We start from the raw sequence: 19,150 nt of genomic DNA on the forward strand, positions 1-19,150 counted from the left end.
TGTTGCAATTGCTTTTGCTTCATTATGTGTCTTCATTATGAAATCTTTGCCCGTGCCTACGTCTTGAATGGTATTGCCTAGGTTGTCTTCCAGGTTTTTTATAGTTTTGGGTTTTACATTTAAGTCTTTAATCTATCTTGAGTTAATTTTTGTATGTCGTGTAAGGAAGAGGTCTCGTTTCAATCTTCTGCATATGGCTAGTTAATTATCCCAGTAACATTTATTGAATAGGGAATCATTTTCCCATTGCTTGTTTTTGTCAGCTTTGTGGAAGGTCAGATAGTGTAGGTGTGTGGCCTTACTGTTGTGTTCTCTGTTCTGTTGCATTAGTCTATTTTGTCTCTTTCTGTGCCAGTACCATGCTGTTTTGGTTACTGTAGCCCAGTAGTATAGTTCAAAGTTGGGTAGCATGATGGCTCCAGCTTTGTACTTTTTGCTGAGGATTGCCTTGGCTATTTGGTCTCTTTTTTAGTTATCCATATGAATTTTAAGGTAGTTTTCTCTTCTGTGAAGAATGTCAATGGTAGTTTAATGGGAATAGCATTGAATCTATAAATTGCTTTGGGCAGCATGGCCATTTTCATGATATTGATTCTTCCTATCCATGAACATGGAATATTTTTCCATTTGTTTGTGTCATCTCTGATTTCTTTGAGCAGTGGTTTATAGTTCTCCTTGCAGAGATCTTTCACCTCCCTTGTTAGCTGTATTCCTAGGTATTTTTTTTTTTGTGTGTGTGTGTGTCAGTTGTGAATGGGAGTTCATTTGTGATTTGGCTCTCAGCTTGACTGTTGTTGGTATATAGGAATGCTAGCGATTTTTGCACATTGATTTTGTGTCATGAGACTGCTGAGGTTGCTTATTATACACTGCGGTTGTGAGGTTAAATTCCTCCTTTGGGAAACTTCAGTTTTTGCTCTTCAGGCCTTCAGCTGATTGGATGAGGCTCACCCACATGAAGGAGGGTCATTTGCTTTACTTAGTCTTCTGATTTAAATGTTAATTATATCACACAATACCTCCACAGCAACATTCAGGCTATGCTTGAGCAAACAACAGGGCACCATAGCCTAGCCAAGTTGACAGTCCAGTGTAAAGTCCATCCTTGATACTTCTGGTAGCCCTGGTCAAGCATTTTCCTCTTTGGTCTCAGTCTGCCCATGTGTAAGAGAGGTGGCTATATTAGGAAGGTTTCCAGGGCCTTCCAGGTGAAATGTTCCTGCTTCATCCAGGAGACCTGATGACCCCAGGTACAGGCAGTAGAAAGTACTTTGTGGGCTCCTGTACAGACCTCTTCCCCAGGGGTTGAGCACCCCCATCTCTGTTTCTGTCAGTGTCTCCCTGATTCTTATTCTCCTCTTTGCATTCTGCCATGCACATAGTCCAAGGGGCCACCAGCCCAGCCCCAAATTGGCATGTTATGACAATTCCATCACCCATTACGGATTAGCATAGCTGTGTCCCTTAATTCAGATTCCAGGGAGAGACAGTATTTGGTTGCTGGCCAGCCAGCTGGATGGCTGGAGCTGTGTCAGGTACCAACTCCAGGTTTAACCAGCTCTGGTTGGGAGCAGAATCCTTTGGCCAGCTGCCAGCTCAGCAGGTGCTATGGGAACAGATTCCTGGAGAAAAGCCCCGTGGGGAGGGAGGCGGCCAGGAGATAGGGGCTGCCCGGGCAGTTCAAATTGACTGATGCGTCCATTACAGTTCCTTTACGCTTAATGATCTGCTGCCTTGCTGTTGTCACTGTTGATTTGTTTGGTCTGTGGAGACTGTGTGGACCACATGGCATTAAACCCCACATCAAGGGCACTCATGCTGATCATGACAGCCATGGAAAGGAGTAGAGAGGAAAATATTTTGAGGGCAAACAGATCAAGAATGAGAAAGCCGCTTTTGCCCTCACTAATGACCCTAAAATTTACTCAATGATCCAGAAACCCTAAAAGTAAAGCCATTAGTCACAATGTTGTCAGAGTAAAAAGGAAAGAAAGAATAAGCCGTGTGTTATCATTTTAGAATCCATTCCACACAAGTGCCCATTTCAAACGCCTGAATGCCTGAACCATGCAGGTTGATTTAATTATCGTTTGCCCTGCATGCTATGGAGTCAGCCACATGCCCTGCACACCCCAGCATCAGGGGATGGCCTGTGTCAAGCTGAGGGCTCGTGCATTTCCTTTGTGCGCAGGGGCTGGGGCTTTCTTGCCTGCCCAGCTGAGCTGTCCTCCTGTCAGCTTTGAGGGCAGCGGTGTCCAGTCTCCGACGGTGATGTAGACAGGACCTCCGCATCACTTCTAGGACATCTCTAGGTGGAGAGTGAGAAAGAGAGGGAGAATGCTCAAACAGGTTGGGGGGCTCAAGAACACCTCCCGTGAGTGGGGGGCAGCCCACTTGGGGGTGGGAGCACTCCCTGATTTCCTGGTAAGTTGCCGCATAATATGTAATCATTAGATTATTTGTTTACTTGTTTCTCTCCCCTGATAGACTAAATTCACAGAGGGCAAAGCTCTTGTCTTGACTTTGCAATAATAATAGTTTTCATTGGTTGATTGCCTGCTATTGGCCATGTTCTATGTTGAATTCTTTACATATATTAGCTCTAATCTGCATGGTAGATTATCGCTCTTTGACAGACAGGGAAATGGAGGCTCCAAGAGGTTAAGTACATTGTCCAAAGTTAGACAGCTGTATGGGACACAGTTGGAATTTAAACTCATGGACTTTTCATCTTTCCAAGAGCCTCTTACATACGTGATGTCTGCACCATACTGAGTATTAAATACATACCTGTGGAATGAATGAAGATATACGCAGCTGCTTCTCTTCCTCTTCTCTATGGCTCCTCTATGGCCTGTTGAACTTTGGGAGACAAGGTTGGCTGTTGGCAAAATTTGAAAATCTGCCCTCCCTTTCTTTGTGTCTTTCCTATTTTGCAAGCTACCATTCCGGACCTAGAAGCAACACAATGTAGTGGAAAGAACACTCAATTTGGATTTCAACAGAGCTGGCTTGGAACCCTGGCTCCACCGAAAGCTCTCTGGAGTTATTTAACCTCTTTGAACCTCAGGTTCCCTGTCTATATAATGAGAATAACAGCACCCATGGCAGAAACATGGCGAGGATTTGGTGGCACAAGGATGTAAGTGGCACCTGGGCACTGGGCTCAGAGGTGGTATTCAGGAAGTGGAAGTTCCCCCATTTTCCCCCAGCCACCTTCATGCCTGATCTCTGCCCCACTCTTGGGCTTTAGAGACACGTGCTGGGGTCTTGGTTCCTGGAAAGATAAAGTGCTACAAAAATTAAATTCTAGAAAATCCTACAGAAAACTAGAAAACTCGGTTCTCTGAACTTTAGTCATTAAAAGTGTCACACGCAAGGGATGAAAGATTTTAATTTGATTCAATTCAGTTCTGTTCTGCAGACACTGGCGCCACAGCCCCTGCAGTAGGCAATGAGCTGGCCTGAGGACACAGAACTCCTGTCTCAAGGTGTTCACACTCAGCTCTGGGGGAAAGACAGCTATGAAGCAAATAGTTTGAAATGTAGAACCCTTGGGTACAACAGAGAACTGTGTAGTAGGTCCCAAAGCGGCACAATGGGAGCAGGGGCACAGAAGGGCAGAGAGCCAGGGGAGGCCTCTCAGAGGATGAAATGAATAAGGTGAGTATTAAGGGATGAATAGGTGTTTACCTGCTAGGAGAGGAGGTAGGAAAGTCACAGGAACCAGCCTGTGAAAGAGATGGAGAGGCCACACTGTTTGATGGAAGGGCTGGAGAACAATTTTGTAGCATTCTATGCACAGTTGCTGGGGAGTTCTCCAAAATTCACCCATCTTCAGCACAGTTTGAGAACCCTGTGGGCCAGTATGTTCAGGGAAGACTTCCTGGATAATGCTGTCTCTGCTAATTTAGAAGGCATCATTTCTGCCCTAGATAATGCTAGGATAAGGCTTACATATTTTACAAGTTTTTCCTCCTCCCCCTCTTTTTCACACATAGCATTATAGAGTGATTCATTCCTTTGTTCAAAAACCATATTTTAATAGCTCCTGGGATGTGCCAGGCCCTGTGTATGTGTTGGTTCTGCAGAGCTAAAACCCATAAAAATTATTCTCAGTCCAGTGGGAGAGTTGCTGTTGTCAGCAGATAATTAAAATGCCAGTGGCACTGGCTAGAATGGAGGGGCCCAGAGGGCCTACTATGTGCCTACTGCTAGTGGTACTCACAAGACTGAGCAGAATCTTCAAAGTCTTTGGTGGAAGGGTGCTTTAGCTTAAATTCAAGTTATATGCAAATTGCCTTATCTACTCACAAAATCAGTTTTTGGAAAAAGGTGGTGAGGAGGTTTCAATGGGTGAGTAGGAGGTAATGTTTATTAGGTACCTACAGCAGGGCCCTCTTACAGCTGGGATTTCATTTAACAGCTTTAAGAGGTAGGTATTGTTAGCCCCATTTTCCAGAAGAGAAACAGGAAACACAGAGGTTAAGTGACTAGCCCAAAGTCACACAATTAGTAAATGTGCCAGCCAGAATTTCGACGTAGGTTGGACTGACGTGAGAGCCCAACTCTTAGAGTATACCATAAAGGTGGCCCTTGTCCTAACCTGCTCTGCCTAAGGCTGTAACCTGTAGCTCCAAGTGACCATTGGGCACTTGAAATGTGGCCAGGGTGACCAAACTGAATTTTTACTTTTTTGGAATTTTAATTAATCAAAATTTTAAATTAAAAACAAATACTCCTTTAATTGTTGGAGAACTTTTATGTCTGAACAACTTGGGCATGTGAATCTACTCTTTCAGCTATAAATTTGATGAACTCTAAGTATGTCTGATGCAAATTTAGTGTTTGCATCCCGATGCACTGTAAGTGCAGATTTGGAAGACACGTTGATTATATATTGGAAGGCAGCTATGCTCACCACTCTACCACCAACGCCATGTTAATTATATATTGAAGGGAGAATATGTTGGCTATATTGGGTTAAATAAAAAATATTTAAAAGATTTATTTCACCTGTTTCTTTTCAGTTTTTAAAATGTGGCTACTAGAATATTTAAAATGAAGTATGTGTCTTGCATTCTACTTCTGTTGGATGGTTGGATGGTGCTGCTTTATGCTAGAGTTTCAAATAATTGAATAAACTTTGTCAGGGTTACTGTACGCAGAACAAGATAGTAATCAAATACATTCTAAAAACTCTTTCTTTCTTCTTTCTCTCTCTTCCTTTCTCCCTCTTTCTTTCTTTCTTCTTTCTTTCTTTTTCTTTTTCTTTTTTTTTTTATCGGCTCTTGCTTTGTTCTCCAGGCTACAGTGCAGTGGTGCAATCATAGCTAAGTACAGCCTGATCTTCTGGGCTCAATTGATCCTCCTGCTTCAGCCTCCTGAGCAGCTGGGACTACTGGTATATGCAACCGTGCCCAGCTAATTAAAAAAAATTTTTTTTTTTGTAGAAATGAGGTCTCACTGTGTTGCCCAGGCTGGTCTTGAACTCCTGAGCTCAACCTATTCTCCTGCCCTGACCTCACAAAGTGCTGGGATTACAGGTGCGAACTACTACACTCAGCCAAAAATATATTTATTTTTCTACTCTCAGCTGATCTCCCTAGCCTTTAAGGCATTGGAATTGGGAGGCCCACCCTGTTTTACATGCATGTTTCAGAGCGGGTGAGTGTACTATGGCACCAGATGCAGAACAAATTAGGAGGTGGTGAGACTGGTGATGCCTGGGAGGTAGACAGGGGAAGGAGATAAATTGATAATGAGTCTAGTTGTGGTCCTAGAGACAGTTTTTGACAGCAGCTTTAAAAAAACTGGGTGATCCATGCCCGTACATACAGAGGAGCCCAAAGCAAAAGTCGCCGGGCCCAGAAGGTCTAAGAGCATAACTGATTCCATAAACTAGACGTGGCTATTCCAGCTGATTCCAGGGCTTTATTTTTGTCTGAGTCTGTTATTACAAAGGTTTTCTGTCTGATTTCTTCATTACTACTCTGTGAAGCTCAGATTTAATATTTGAAGTCTGAATTTTCCCTTCAGACCAGACTTCACTGGCAAAGTAATACCGACGCATTTGAGGGGAGGGAGGGTGATGAGATGAGGTACACTGTAAATTTAATGAAGAAAACACACATGATATTGAGTGAGAGTTGAGTTATTTTGATAATTGTTGGGGGGGTGAAATAGAATTGTGGCTGGTATTTTGATTCCTTTTTGATGCTGTTTTAGTATTTTTCTGAGGTTTGCCTCTCTAGCATTATTAAAGCTGTTGTTCAGGATTTTGATGTCTGCACTTTAATAGTTTTTCTTCTGAGGCTGGAGAGAGAAAGAGAGAGAGTGCAAATTAATTTTGGAGTAAGAGTGACTTTAGACCCTAAGCATTAGAGGATTTGATATATTTGTGGTTTCAACTATTTATTTGCAAAGCACCCTGAAAGCCCTTAACACACGATGAATGGTCATTTTTAGAGACAAAAATTTGAATATTGATTCTCGTGAGGCCGGCACAGAGGAGCTGGTGAGTGAACCTAGCCACATCCGGAACAGCCACTGCTCTCTTAGGTCTTGGTGGTTTTTGCTCAGTTTTGAGTATGTGATAATCTTCACTAAGGGTTTAAGAAGCTATTTAAGTATCTCAAATATGCTGCGTGCATTTAATGGGGACATTGTGTGCTGTGGGTGTTCAGAGGTTTGGCAACTATCAAACGTTTCAGGAGACCCTCGTGAACATCCAGTATCAGTTGGAATTGGAAGACTTTGGGAAACTCTGGACTGATGGTGTGGCTGCAACAGCTTTCATATTGCTTTTCTAGAAGATTCCAGAGAAAGTTGGCCAAATCCAGAGAAAGCAATTACACAGAGTGAAAACTGAACTGGGCAAGGAGTGGGGGAACAATAAAGTGTTGAAATTGGACTTGGGTGGTGGAGGCCCCAGGAAGGCTTTTGCTGTTTTGGTGCTGCCACCATCCTGACTGTGTCTGGAGGGATGTTGTGTTGAGTATTACCACCTTTTCTGGGCTGGCCGTAACTGAAGGTGCAGGCAGCTTTCTCCTGTCTACCGACCATTTATCCTAGGGGCTTACCTTAATCACAGTGACGATGACACTACTTCCTGTTCTGTAAGCTTTCTGGTTCGGCATCTTTAGACCTTCGCCACGCTGCTTGTTCATTTGTTCAATTTTTTTACTCATTTATTTATTTATTCAACAAACATTTACTGATTTCCTATCATGTGCCAGATCAACCTGACCACACAGGGACATTTCTTGCCATGTCTAGTTCTGAGGTTCTTTTATTCCTTTAATAAATACTAAAGCAATTTCAATAGCCATACAGCAAGCACTACAGTGGTGCTAGGTTCTGTGGAAGACTTGGGTTCTCCACGAGATGTTGATTAGATTTTGCTCTTTTCCCACCTCCTCATCTACTGTGTCCTTTTCATAGTTTTCAGGTCATCAGTTGGTCAACCAGTCTTTTTATATCATTGTTTTTATTTTACATTCCTTTAAAAAGATTAGTCAGGAAGATACATTGCAATTGAAACATGGTTAAAAAAAATGGAAGGAAAACAGTGGAAAGGAATGGAACCAGAGGAATAGTTCTCACTGAAAATACATCCAGGAGGTTCAGATGATTTTCTAGAGGTGGACTAAACTATAGCTCTATGTTTTTCTAAGCACTCACTCAAGAGGAAGACACAATCACTAGCACTGTATAGTTACAGGATTTATGGAATTTCAAGAGATTCCTCATCAATCAGTGATTCAGGAGAGGCGTAAAGACCCCTGGCTCCAGTGACTCCAGTGGGTACTTCTAAAGGCTCCTCACTTCCAGGGCCACATCATCAAACCATTCTTACAAGAACACGAGGAGGAGTGTCTTGCACAGGACTATTCTGTCTTGCATCCTTGGCACTGGCTGTGGGCACATCATCTAAGCTCAACTCAGTAAAGGGAGTTAACATTGTACCCAGCAATGAGGCCCAGGCATGCAGCAGTCTGGTCTTAGACTTCCTCCGAAAGTAACATCTTAGCACATCTGAAGCAGGAGGGATAAACCCGAATGCCTCCAGGGTGTGGCAGGCAGTTGCTGTGTGTGATAGCAGGAAGGCAGGCCGGTGGGGAGCTGGTGAGTACCAGCTCTGGTAAGGGCATTCCACTCCCACTTACAAAGACCACAAAGACCCAACTAAATACTCCGAGGACCAAGTTCAGCCTTGGGCTGCCAGTTCATGAGTTCTGATCTACAAAAATAAATAGGCTGACAAGTTTTCATAAATATTGTTTTCTATAGCTGAGCTATTGGTAAATATTGGGCAGAAAGAGTTCAAGTTCTTGCTGTTTGATAAGTACTGAGAAATTGGTTAGCACAAGCAGCCTTGTAATTAATAAATCCTTAAAATGAATTTTGCATATTGGGACTGCATATGCTCTGGCATACTGTTATGCTCTGGAGTTATACCTTGAAATAAAATAGAATCCCTGCCTTCATGGAAATCAAGTCATGCATGTGAAAAATACATAAAATGGGGTGTGATGCAGTAAGTATGTACCAGGGAGGCACAGAGGAGGGGTGGGAATAGCACCAGACTATTGGGTCTAGAGGTCAGGAAGTCAGAGGGTCAGGGGTCAGGGATCAGAGAAGGCTTCATCCAGGAAGAAGGAGGAAGGCAGCTGGGTCATGGTAAAATAAACACCCTCCACTCCAATATCTGTTTTTACTTGCCATCCTGGGTGCCAAGAAGACTGGGAGGTGTGACTGAGGAAAGGCCATCTTCTTGTGGCAGCCAGGGCCCCTCCTGGTGCCACCTGGCTGAAGCAGAAGAGGGGCTCGGGAACCGTCCTGGACAAGCCTTCAGGGTGAGCCAGTGGCTCAGGAACCCTGGGCTCCACCCTTTGGGATGGCACCGGAGGGGCTACATTTTCCCATCTCCATTTTCATCCTTCTTTTTCTTCCTCCCACTCTCTTTCCTCCACAGCACTGAGCTTGCAGATGTTGACTCAGGAATGACACAAGGGTGGCCCAAGGGTCTCCATACCCCTCCCTGACATCTTCCGGGAGAGCAGTGGGCTGGCAGGTCTTCAGCATCAGGAGGAGCGCAGTGCAATCTCGGAAATACTCCGAGGCTATTGTTAGAAACCTTAGACGATGTTCTGAAACTGTGTGCGGAACTGTCTGGAAAAGGCAGATATCTCCCTGCCCCCACAACCCTCCAGCAAACCCACATGGCCTTCGTGGAAAGGTGGCACAAAGGACAGGCAGGGGAGGCTCAGTTCCGTTCCTGAGTGGCTTTCACCTGTCTATATGTGGACCCTGCTGTTCTGAGCTGTCCAGCATCTGACTTGCCCCTGCTATGTGTGGGGAATTCCCCACCTTGTGGATCCAGGCCCACTTCCCATAATTGAAGCTGGACATGCTGCTTCTCTTCTTCCCACCTCCCTCAGTACCAGCGTAAGGCATGGAACTTAGGCTTGGCCAGTCCTGAGGTTACCCAGGGTTTGAATGGTAGTCAGGGACTGCATCTGCGGTGGTGAAGACAGTGGGGCTGTAGGCGGTGTGTGCTGGGCCAGGGCAATGCCCTGGGTCAGTGGCTGGGGGGAGGCCCCAGCCTGGGTCTGCGGGATGAACTTGGGCTTTGCTTCTGGTTGCAAAGCCTCAGAGTGCTTCTCTATCCCCTCTTGAGTGGTTTTCCATCTCTTCCTGTCAATCAGCCTATATACTTATTTTTCTTTAAATCAGACGCAAAATTCATTCTAAAAGCTGAAAAAAGTGTGGCAGTTTGGAAGTTGCTTTAGCACATTTAAATCAAGTGAGAAATCGCAAACTCCTAACTGGGACATATATGCAGTGCATCATCTTTCATCAACTTTGAACTTACTTATTAAAGAAAGAAGAGAACATTCAGATAAAACAATAGTGAATATAAAAATATAATAAAGATGAGCTATGAAACCAATAGGCTTTTTTTTTCTGACAGCTGGAAGCCATTTGCATCCAAACCCAATATATTTTCTAATAAATATTCTCTTTGCTTAAAGCAGCGAGGTTCAGTTTCTGTCACTTATAACCAAGAACCATGGGCGATAGAGTCTCCTTCCTCATCTGGGGGTTGTGGTTGAGTGGAAAGAAACTCAATTTTCTCATTGTAAAGTGGGAATGATAATAGCAGCCACTTCATAGCGTGGTTGGGAAGATTAAATCAGATCAAATAAGACAGTCTTAGAACATGATTGTCACATAGTAAATAATACATGTTAACTGTCAGAACTAATAACTTCTGGGTTTTCACAATGAGATATCATCTCACACCCGTCAGAATGTCTATTATTAAAAAGTAAAAAAATAACAGATGCTGGTGAGGTTGGAGAGAAAAAGGAACACTTATACACTGTTGGTGGGAGTGTAAATAAGTTCAACCATTGGGGAAAGCAGTATGGTAATTCCTCAAAGAGCTAAAAGCAGGCCAGGTGCGGTGGCTCACGCCTGTAATCCCAGCACTTTGGGAGGCCAAGGTGGGCAGATCACGAGGTCAGGAGATCGAGACCATCCTGGCTAACACAGTGAAACCCCGTCTCTACTAAAAATACAAAAAATTGGCTGGGCGTGGTGGTGGGCACCTGTAGTCCCAGCTACTCGGGAGGCTGAGGCAGGAGAATGGCATGAACCTGGGAGGCGGAGCTTGCAGTGAGCCGAGATCTCGCCAGTACCCTCCAGCCTGGGCGACAGAGCGAGACTCTGTCTCAAAAAAAAAAAAAAAAAAAAAAAAAAAAAAAGAGCTAAAAGCAGAACTACCGTACCATTTGACCCAGCAATCCCATTACTGGGTATATACTCAGAGGGATATAAATCATCTTACCATAAAGACACATGCATTTGAATGTTTATTACAGCACGGTTCACAATAGCAAAGACATGGAATCTACCTAAATGCCCATCAGTGACAGATTGGATAAAAAAATGTACATATACATCATGGAATACTATGCAGCGATAAAAGAACAAGATCATGTGTTTTATGGGAACATGGATGGAGCTGGAGGCTATTATCCTTAGCAAACTAATGCAGAAACAGATAACCAAATACTGCATGTTCTCACTTATAAATGGGAGCTAAATGATGAGAACTCATGAACACAAAGAAGGGAACAAGAGAAGCTAGGATCTACTTAAGGGGGAGGGTGGGGGGAGGCAGAGGGGCAGAAAAGATAACTATTGGGTACTGGGCTTAATACCTGGGTGATGAAATAATATGTGGAAAGAATCCCCATGACATGAGTTTACCTATGTAACAAACCTTCACACGTACCCCTGAGCCTAACATAAAAGTTAATTTAAAAAAAAAAAAACACTTCTGGGTTTCAAATTTGATCAACAAATTTTTAAACAAACATTTAGACTCTCTGGTCTCACAGTTCTCTGCAAGGTGGGAGTAATATCTGCTGTATCTATCTTATAATTAATGTGAATGGCAAACAAATGATGGAATGGGGAAATGCTTTGCAAAAGCATAAAATTCAAATAGAATACAATCGATTTCTATGATCATGTGATTAAGGCCACTCTTTAATTCTCATTAGCCCACCCTGATCTCTGGGGACTCTCAGCTTGGAGGCTGAGGCTTATATTCATTTTATGTGATGGGTTAGTTGTGTTGAGAGAAGGGAAGACAGCATTTTGGGGAAAAACAACAGAAAAGCCTTACATTTAATGAACCTAAAATTTTTACAGTGCTTTATTGTTCTTGTGAGGCCAAAAGAAAATCTAATATCCCATTTTGAAATCTGGACATGTCTTGTTTTATGTGTCAAAAATGTTTAGAACACTTAAATCCATCGAGATCCCAATGGTGCCGTGGGCAAAGCACCTCCTTCACCTCCTCTCATTCTCTCTCGTCAGTCACATGCCCTGCTTGAGAAATAGCTGTTAATGTTTTCCTGTTCAGTTCCTTGCAAGGTGTGGCAGTGTAAGAAAATTGCCTCCAAGGAGCTCAGAGAGCACAGTAGAAAGGTTGACTGGCTGGTTGGGTGTCTGATCAGGCGGCTGGCCAGGCCCAGAGAGGTGAGACAGAGTTCCGTGGTGAGGGGAGGCTTGAGGTAAGTATGGAGGTGTGAAGCCCCGCCGCACATCCTGGGGACAGCAGTAGAGGGGATTAAGTTGGGGATAAGGGAGATGAAGATGGGAGTGAAAGCAGGGCTCAAATGTGGAAAGGGATTCAGTTTTCAGGGTGATAGGGATGTGGAGAGGTACTGTGGCCATTTTAGTGTTCTAGAAAAAGTGACCTGCGGAGTGGAGGATGTACAGGATGTGTTCGAGGAAAAGACATAGTGGGCGGGAGGACCATGAGGAGCCTGGGGCTCTCATCCTGATGCAGAGGGAGAGACTGCGTCCTGGCAGGCTGGGGAATACGGAGGTTAAAGACACATGTAAGCACAGAGATGGCCAGCGCAGGGACTTTCAGATGAGCGGATCACACAGGGTGGTTGACTTGGAGGTTGGAAGTCCAACCCAAGTGAAATGGGGCATCTAGAAGGAGAAGTGGTGTTGGGGGTGGGTGAATGGGGATGATGGAGACTTGCAGGGAAAAATATCTAATGTTGAGATTGTCATGAGCATGACTTTTGCTGAGTTCCTCTCCCTGTCTCTCAAAACGTGGTGACAATGAGGTTTCGCTCATGGGGATTGGTCCTGGGCTTCACCCAGACTTCTTCCCCACCTGCCTGGCTTGCATACATCAGACTCTTGGGTGCAATAGCTACTTGTTGAGTTCCCCAGCACATCTCATAGAAACATCTAGTGTCAGAGCTCTCATAGCCCAGCATCTCCCAAAGTGTTTCTGAGGATCCCTGGGCCTGTGAGGTGAGGGGCTGAAAGGAATTCTATGCTTAGCTAAGTTTCGGAAATACTGATACCCAAGTTAATAAAGTTTCTTTTTTGCAGGACTTCTCAGAGCCTTTAATATGTTCATGTGTGTGTGAATCCCAGAGAAGGGAGATTTAGAAAGTACCATTTCTGTATTAGTTTGTTCTTGCATTGCTATAAAGGAATACGTGAGACTAAGTAATTTATAAAGAAGAGTTTTAATTGGCTCGTGGTTCTGCAGGCTGTACAGGAAGCATGGTGCTGGCATCTGCTCAGCTTCTGGGGAGACGTCAGGAAACTATCAATTATGATGGAAGGCAAAGAGGGAGCAGGCACATCTTACATGGCTGGAGCAGGAGCAAGAGAGAGAGGGGGGAGGTGCTATGTACTTTTAAGCAACCAGATCTCACCATAACTCTATTGCAAGAACAGCATCAAGAGCATGGTGCTAAATGATTCATGAGAAACCGCCTCCATGATCCAATCACCTCCCACCAGGTCCCACCTCCAACACTGGAGATTATAATTTGACATGAGTTTTGGGTGAGGACACAGACCCAAACCATATCTATTTCCTAAAAGCATTGGATAATGGAATCCTTTTGGGGGAATACTCATAATAATAATTTTTTACTGGAAGTACTTTAGGGAAAGTTGATTGTAAGACTAAATCCCTCACAGTGGTTAATCATGCTGCATTATTTACTTGAAATTATCTAAGGGAGCAGATCTTAGTGTCCTTACTTCCCTCCCGCTCCCTACACACACACGAATGGTAACTGCTTGTGGTGAGGATGTGTTAATTAATTTGGTAATCAGGACACAGTGTATACGTATATAAAATCATGCAGAACACCTTGAATATATACTATTTTCCTTTCTTTTCTTTTCTTTCTTTCTTTCTTGTTTTTTTTTTTTTTTTTCTTTTTGTGAGACGGAGTCTCGCTCTGTCGCCCAGGCTGGAGAGCAATGATGCGATCTTGGCTCACTGCAAGCTCTGCCTCCCAGGTTCAAGTGATTCTCCTGCCTCAGCTTCCCGAGTAGCTGGGATTACAGGCCCCTGCCACCATGCTTAGCTGATTATTGTATTTTTAGTAGATGGGGTTTCACCATGTTGGCCAGGCTGGTCTGGAACTCCCGACTTCAGGTGATCCACCTGCCTCGGCCTCCCAAAGTGCTGGGATTACAGGCGTGAGCCACCACAGCCAGCCTGATTCAGCTTTTTAGAGAAATATGGGCCATCACGCCTGTAATCCCAGTACTTTGGGAGGCTGAGGTGGGTGGATCACGAGGTCAGAAGATCGAGACCACCCTGGCCAACACGGTGAAACCCTGTCTCTACTAAAAATACAAAAAAAAAAAAAAATTATGCCACTGCACTCCAGCCTGGGCAACAGAGTGAGACTCCCTCTCAAAAAAAAAAAAAAAGTAGCATGACAGACGCAGCTAATGCTCCTTCATGGAACCTGGCATAGTCTCATCACTTTCTATCTCACCTTAGAGGTAAGCTGCATCCTGAGCTTGGTGCTTACCAGCCATGTGTGTCTTCCATGTGCACTAGTATCTGTGTATAACAGACAACACATACTATTGCTTTGCAGCTTACAATGTTGCTGCAAACGAATGGTATCACATATCACACTAGCCATATCCTCCTGAACCTCGTTTTGTCCCTTCAGCCCTGTTGTTGGGATTTCCATATATGAATAGCTTTCCATGTATGAATGAAATAAAGATGAGGTATACCTCAAGCCATTTAGCCATTCTCCTGGTGATGGACCTTTAGGATGTTTGTACCATCTTTGATATTGTAAGCCAAGCTTCTGGGAATATTATTGTCCAGACATCTTGTTGTGTGTGTTAGTGAGAGCTTCTCTACTGAATATTCCTAGAAAGGGAATTGCTTTCTGGTTATCAGCTTCTCAGGGTACAACAGCTACTTTTTAGGTGAGTTTTTGCTTCTCCACATTCTCACCAACACTCAGAATTATCAGGGATTTTCCCACTCTCTTTGCTGTAAAATGGTGTCTTATTGTTTGAATTTAAGTTTTCCCAATTCCTTGTGAGGCTGATATCTTTCCCTGTTTCTGGCCATTTGTTTTCCTCTTCTGGGACTTATCTGTATTTCTCGTTTTTGCCTAGTTTTTATTTTAATTGTGTTTTTTTCCTAAAAAATGTTTTTTCCTTCAGTTATTGCCTTTGTTTTTTGATGCTGTTTATGATGTTTTTTGTTACAAGAAAGTTTAAAAAGTTTAATGTGTTATGTTTACCAAAATTCTCCTATGTGGGTTATGCTTTTTGTGATTTCTTTACAAAGGCTTCTCTACGTAGGAGTTAAAAAGATAGCCTATTTTTCTCATAAAAGTTTAAAATTTGCCTTTCTCCATTTAGGCCTTGTGAAATAAAACTAAAATAAGACTCCAAGCTCTCTGTGATTAATAGAGACAGGCTCCCTGTGAATAATAGAGACGCTTCCAGTTTAAAAGCAGAACCAGGCAGCGATGCGGGCTGATGAAGAATGGTCACATGTCCTTGGTTCTCAGAAAAACCAGCTCCTGACAAACATTTTGCTTTATATCCCCGAGCCAGAACAGTTCCTATAACCAGAGCCAAAATAAACTGCTTCCAGAACATTCTCTTCCCCACTCCAATCCAGTTGTTTGAAAGAAACTTCTGGTTTTAGGGTTGGAAACTACTCAATCAGAGCTCGAATATTTGGTTCCATCTGAACTGAACAAGTTTGAATCCTTTTTAGAACAAATGGACCTGATTGAGAACCTGGGCAAGAACATTCACTCCCTTTGCTCTTCAGCGAGCACACTTTCACTCGTACTGAAGTCTGAGCCTCCCTAATCTGCAGATTGCTTTCAGGAAGGAAAGCTCTCTTTTCCCTCTGCAGATCTCATGGTATTTTGTTAACAGTCTTTAATTCTTCTGGGGTTATTTTTGTGGGCTGTTAGAGATGAGAATCTGATTTTATTCTCTTCCATTTAAGTTATCAAATGTCCTAGCACCATTTATTGAACAATCTGTCTTTTCCTTAGTGGTTTGCAAAGATGCCTCTGTCATTTGTTAAGTCTACGCACACGCTTGCCTGCCTCCTCCACCGGGTTACAGCTGAAGAAACTGAGTCCTGGAAGAGGTGAGCAGGTTGCTCAATGCCCTGCAGCTGTGGCAGCCTTTCCAAACCACACCACAGGGAAGAGGAAGTGCTCTCTGCTGGGATTTTCTTCTCATCTTTCTCTTCTTTCCTCCCTTCCTTCCTGCTGTCTCTTGTCTTTCTTCCTGCTCCCTTTTTCCCTTGTATTTCTTTTTTATCGCAGATAGGCTTATGTTTCAGCTTCAAGTCCTGTTTTTGTGCATGACGCAGCCATCAGAACACAGCTATTCTTCAAGCAAATGTTTTATCAAAAATATGGCTAGGTATATCACATTTCCTTTTCCTGAGCATGGGCTGGCTGGGCTGACCTCTTTTCCATTTAGAAGAGACAGATAGTTGGGGCTATTAAAATCTACAGCACTTTTCTTTGGCTCCTGGTGATTCATGGCTACTAATCCCTGTGGATATGTTTTTATTTTCTTGGATATATTGGATGTGCAGGTGGTATATATTGAAAAAGCCTGTTGTTTATTGACATGAGCCCAGTAAAGACTCTGATTAATCTAAAAAATAAATAGAGAAAAGTGGAAGGTCACACTCTGGATCAAGAGCTCCAATTATATCCTTGATCCCTGAGTTATTTATTTCCAGTTGAGAGAAATCCTCCCTGTGGAGGCGTCAGGAGATAGATGAAGATTATTAACAGGCGAATGTGTGCGGGACTCCTTTTCCAACCCTTTCCTATCCTTGCTGGCCAAATGTGCCTTCTCTAACTCACCATTTTGGGGACACATCTAGCATTTTCTTTTATAATTCTCTTGTCTTCAGTTGTTTTCAATGGCTTGGAGATATTCTGTCCTTTCCCTACAGCCCTGAGGCACCCGGAGGGTTGCCTTTTTAGGTTTGCCTGTGACTCGGAAGGGTTGGATGTGCCTGGTGAGGTTCCCCCAGGGAATTTAGGACAGTTTCTCAGCTGCCCACATCCATGGAGTCCTTTCCTGGGGGATGTTCAGGATGGTGGCACATGGGTCTTGGGGTGTGTGGCATCAGCAAGAGAGCCGTCCTGACTGTGGGTGGGTGGGTGGGTGGGTCTCATATGGGGCTGCACCCGTGCATTTGAGGATGGACTGCTGGAGCGAACATGAGAAAGGAAGTTGTATTTTGAGACTGAGGTTGGGTGACTGAGTCAGACTCACGCCCTTCCTCAGTCTTGCACTCAGGCTCTGTCACGGGGGTCCTGCTGCTCACTGCCCCTCCTTCACTAGCGGAGTTCAGGACGAGCATCTGCTTTTGTCTAGACAATGGAAGGAACTTTCTTGTAAATTTCCCTGGCTCTTTTCTCCCCTCCTGGCTACTCACCCTCAGCCCTGGCTGTCCTAGGGGACTTCCAAAAACACCAAATGCATCATGCTGCTTCCTTGGTTAAAACTCTTCCTGAAAGGGCTCACCTTTCAAATTGGAGATGACCTGGACATTGTGCACATCAGTTCTGTTTACATCCTGTGACCTGAACTTCTGTCAGAGGGAGGCTGGGAAGTGTGGCGCTCACCTGTGCTGACTTATGCCCACTGACAAGGCTGTAACCGGAAGACAGCCAGGGTAGATTTGGTGGTTAACTATCTGCCTCCACCATTGCAGAGGACTCTTTGACATTTGGTGGTGCCCCCATGGAAAGCCTTCCTCTCTTTCCCATCTCAATGTCACTTCCTCCATGAAGCCTTCCCTGGTTTCTCCCAGTTAGTTGCCTTTGCCACCCTCCCCTCAGCACCCTTGTGTTAGCAACCAGGTTCATTTCTGCCTACATGAAACAAGCCAATCACTGTGGTGATGATTTTTTTTTTTTCAAAAGAGAAAAGATTTTATTCTCAAGGCTGCCATGTGAGGAGACAGTTGAACAAATCTCAAATCCACCTCCCTGAAAATCGGGTGTGGGGGTAATTATAGGAGAGAAATTGTGGTTGTCTGAAGTGTGGGGAAAGGTGATTGGTGGGAAAGAGAGGTGAGGTAATAAGGGTTTTTGCACAAGCATAATGGTGCTACATGGCTCTTCATAGGACACATGTGCAGAAAATAAGTGTGTTAGCATGATTGGAGGGTGGAACTTTTGGCCTTCTGACATAGAAGCCTCTTTGGGTACCTATGCAGGCCCAGTTGAAGAGTTTGTGGTCCCAGCCGGCTTGAACTAAACAAGAGCTGACCGCTAGTTCCCAAAAAACAACCTGAAGCAACTGTTACTATCGTGAAGCACAGTCAGAGATGTTATTTATAAGGAAGCTAGTGGGAGTTTTAAGATCGACTAGAAATAAGCCATTACCCTAAAACTTAAAGTATAATAATAATAAAATTAAAAAAAAAAAGCAGGCAGGAAGGTTAAGTTTGGCAACTTAATCAGATTAGCCTCCAGTTTCAGTGGCATCCCTCCTTTGAGCACAAATTGTTTGTGCTGGAGTCCTTTGTTTCTTGTCTTTTGTCCCAAGTGCACAGCGGCTTACCTTTTTCATCTTTGCATGTCCCGTGCAGAGCATAGGGCAGGATGCAAAATAGGGCATGTGTCCTATAAGAGCCATGTAGCTCCATTATGCTTGTGCGAAATCCCCTATTAGCTCACTTTTCCTTCCCACCAGTCGCCTTTCCCCACGCTTCAGAATGAATGATAGGTAACTGCAATCTTGGGGGCCCCTTAGTGGTCTTTATATCAAAATATGTTTTTTTTAAAGAATTTTTAAAAACGATTTTAAAAACATCAAAGAAAGACTTGTGAAAGGCAGTCTTTATTACTACTGTTTGTCTTTCTCTAGTGCAGGGCTTCTGAAATCTCACCCAGGGAATATGTGAGAAATAGCTATGGGGCTGTACCCCAGACATTCCCTTGAGTGGGTGTGAGGTGAGGGCCTGGGGCCCCTGTGGTGCAGCCAGTCCTCAAAGAGAGATGAGGTTGCAGGAGCCCGAGGGAAAATGAACTATAGAGGGATCTTTGTGCTCCTTCCATTTAGAGATCAGGATGGGGGCCAAACTGGTGTCTGCCTTCCTTCTCTCTCTACTTTCCTTTTTCTGCCCCTCTCCCAGTGATGACTTTCATTATCCTCAGTAGCTCAGGGCTGAGAAATTCTAATCAGAAATGCATCCACTGTAGCCTGCAGCTTCCTAATTCTATCCAGCCTCCATGAATACAATCTGTGGTGATTATGTTTG

At 43.9% G+C, this 19,150-nt stretch overlaps 1 long non-coding RNA gene across 8 annotated transcripts in view, besides 1 other annotated feature; it reads left to right on the forward strand.

The window, feature by feature from the left end:
* LOC105373592 (uncharacterized) overlaps nucleotides 1-19,150 on the forward strand; it is a 530,486-nt gene that overhangs the window by 51,465 nt on the left and 459,871 nt on the right. The gene's annotated exons all lie outside the window — the stretch shown is intronic.
* Nucleotides 627-3,760: an enhancer, noted in NCBI's record as "VISTA enhancer hs2321". NCBI's record gives its function as "enhancer in: pancreas[4/7]" and the evidence as "EXISTENCE:transgenic organism evidence [ECO:0001131][PMID:17130149]".

The sequence above is a fragment of the Homo sapiens genome, chromosome 2 (genome assembly GCF_000001405.40).
Source record: "Homo sapiens chromosome 2, GRCh38.p14 Primary Assembly".
NCBI lineage: Eukaryota > Metazoa > Chordata > Mammalia > Primates > Hominidae > Homo > Homo sapiens.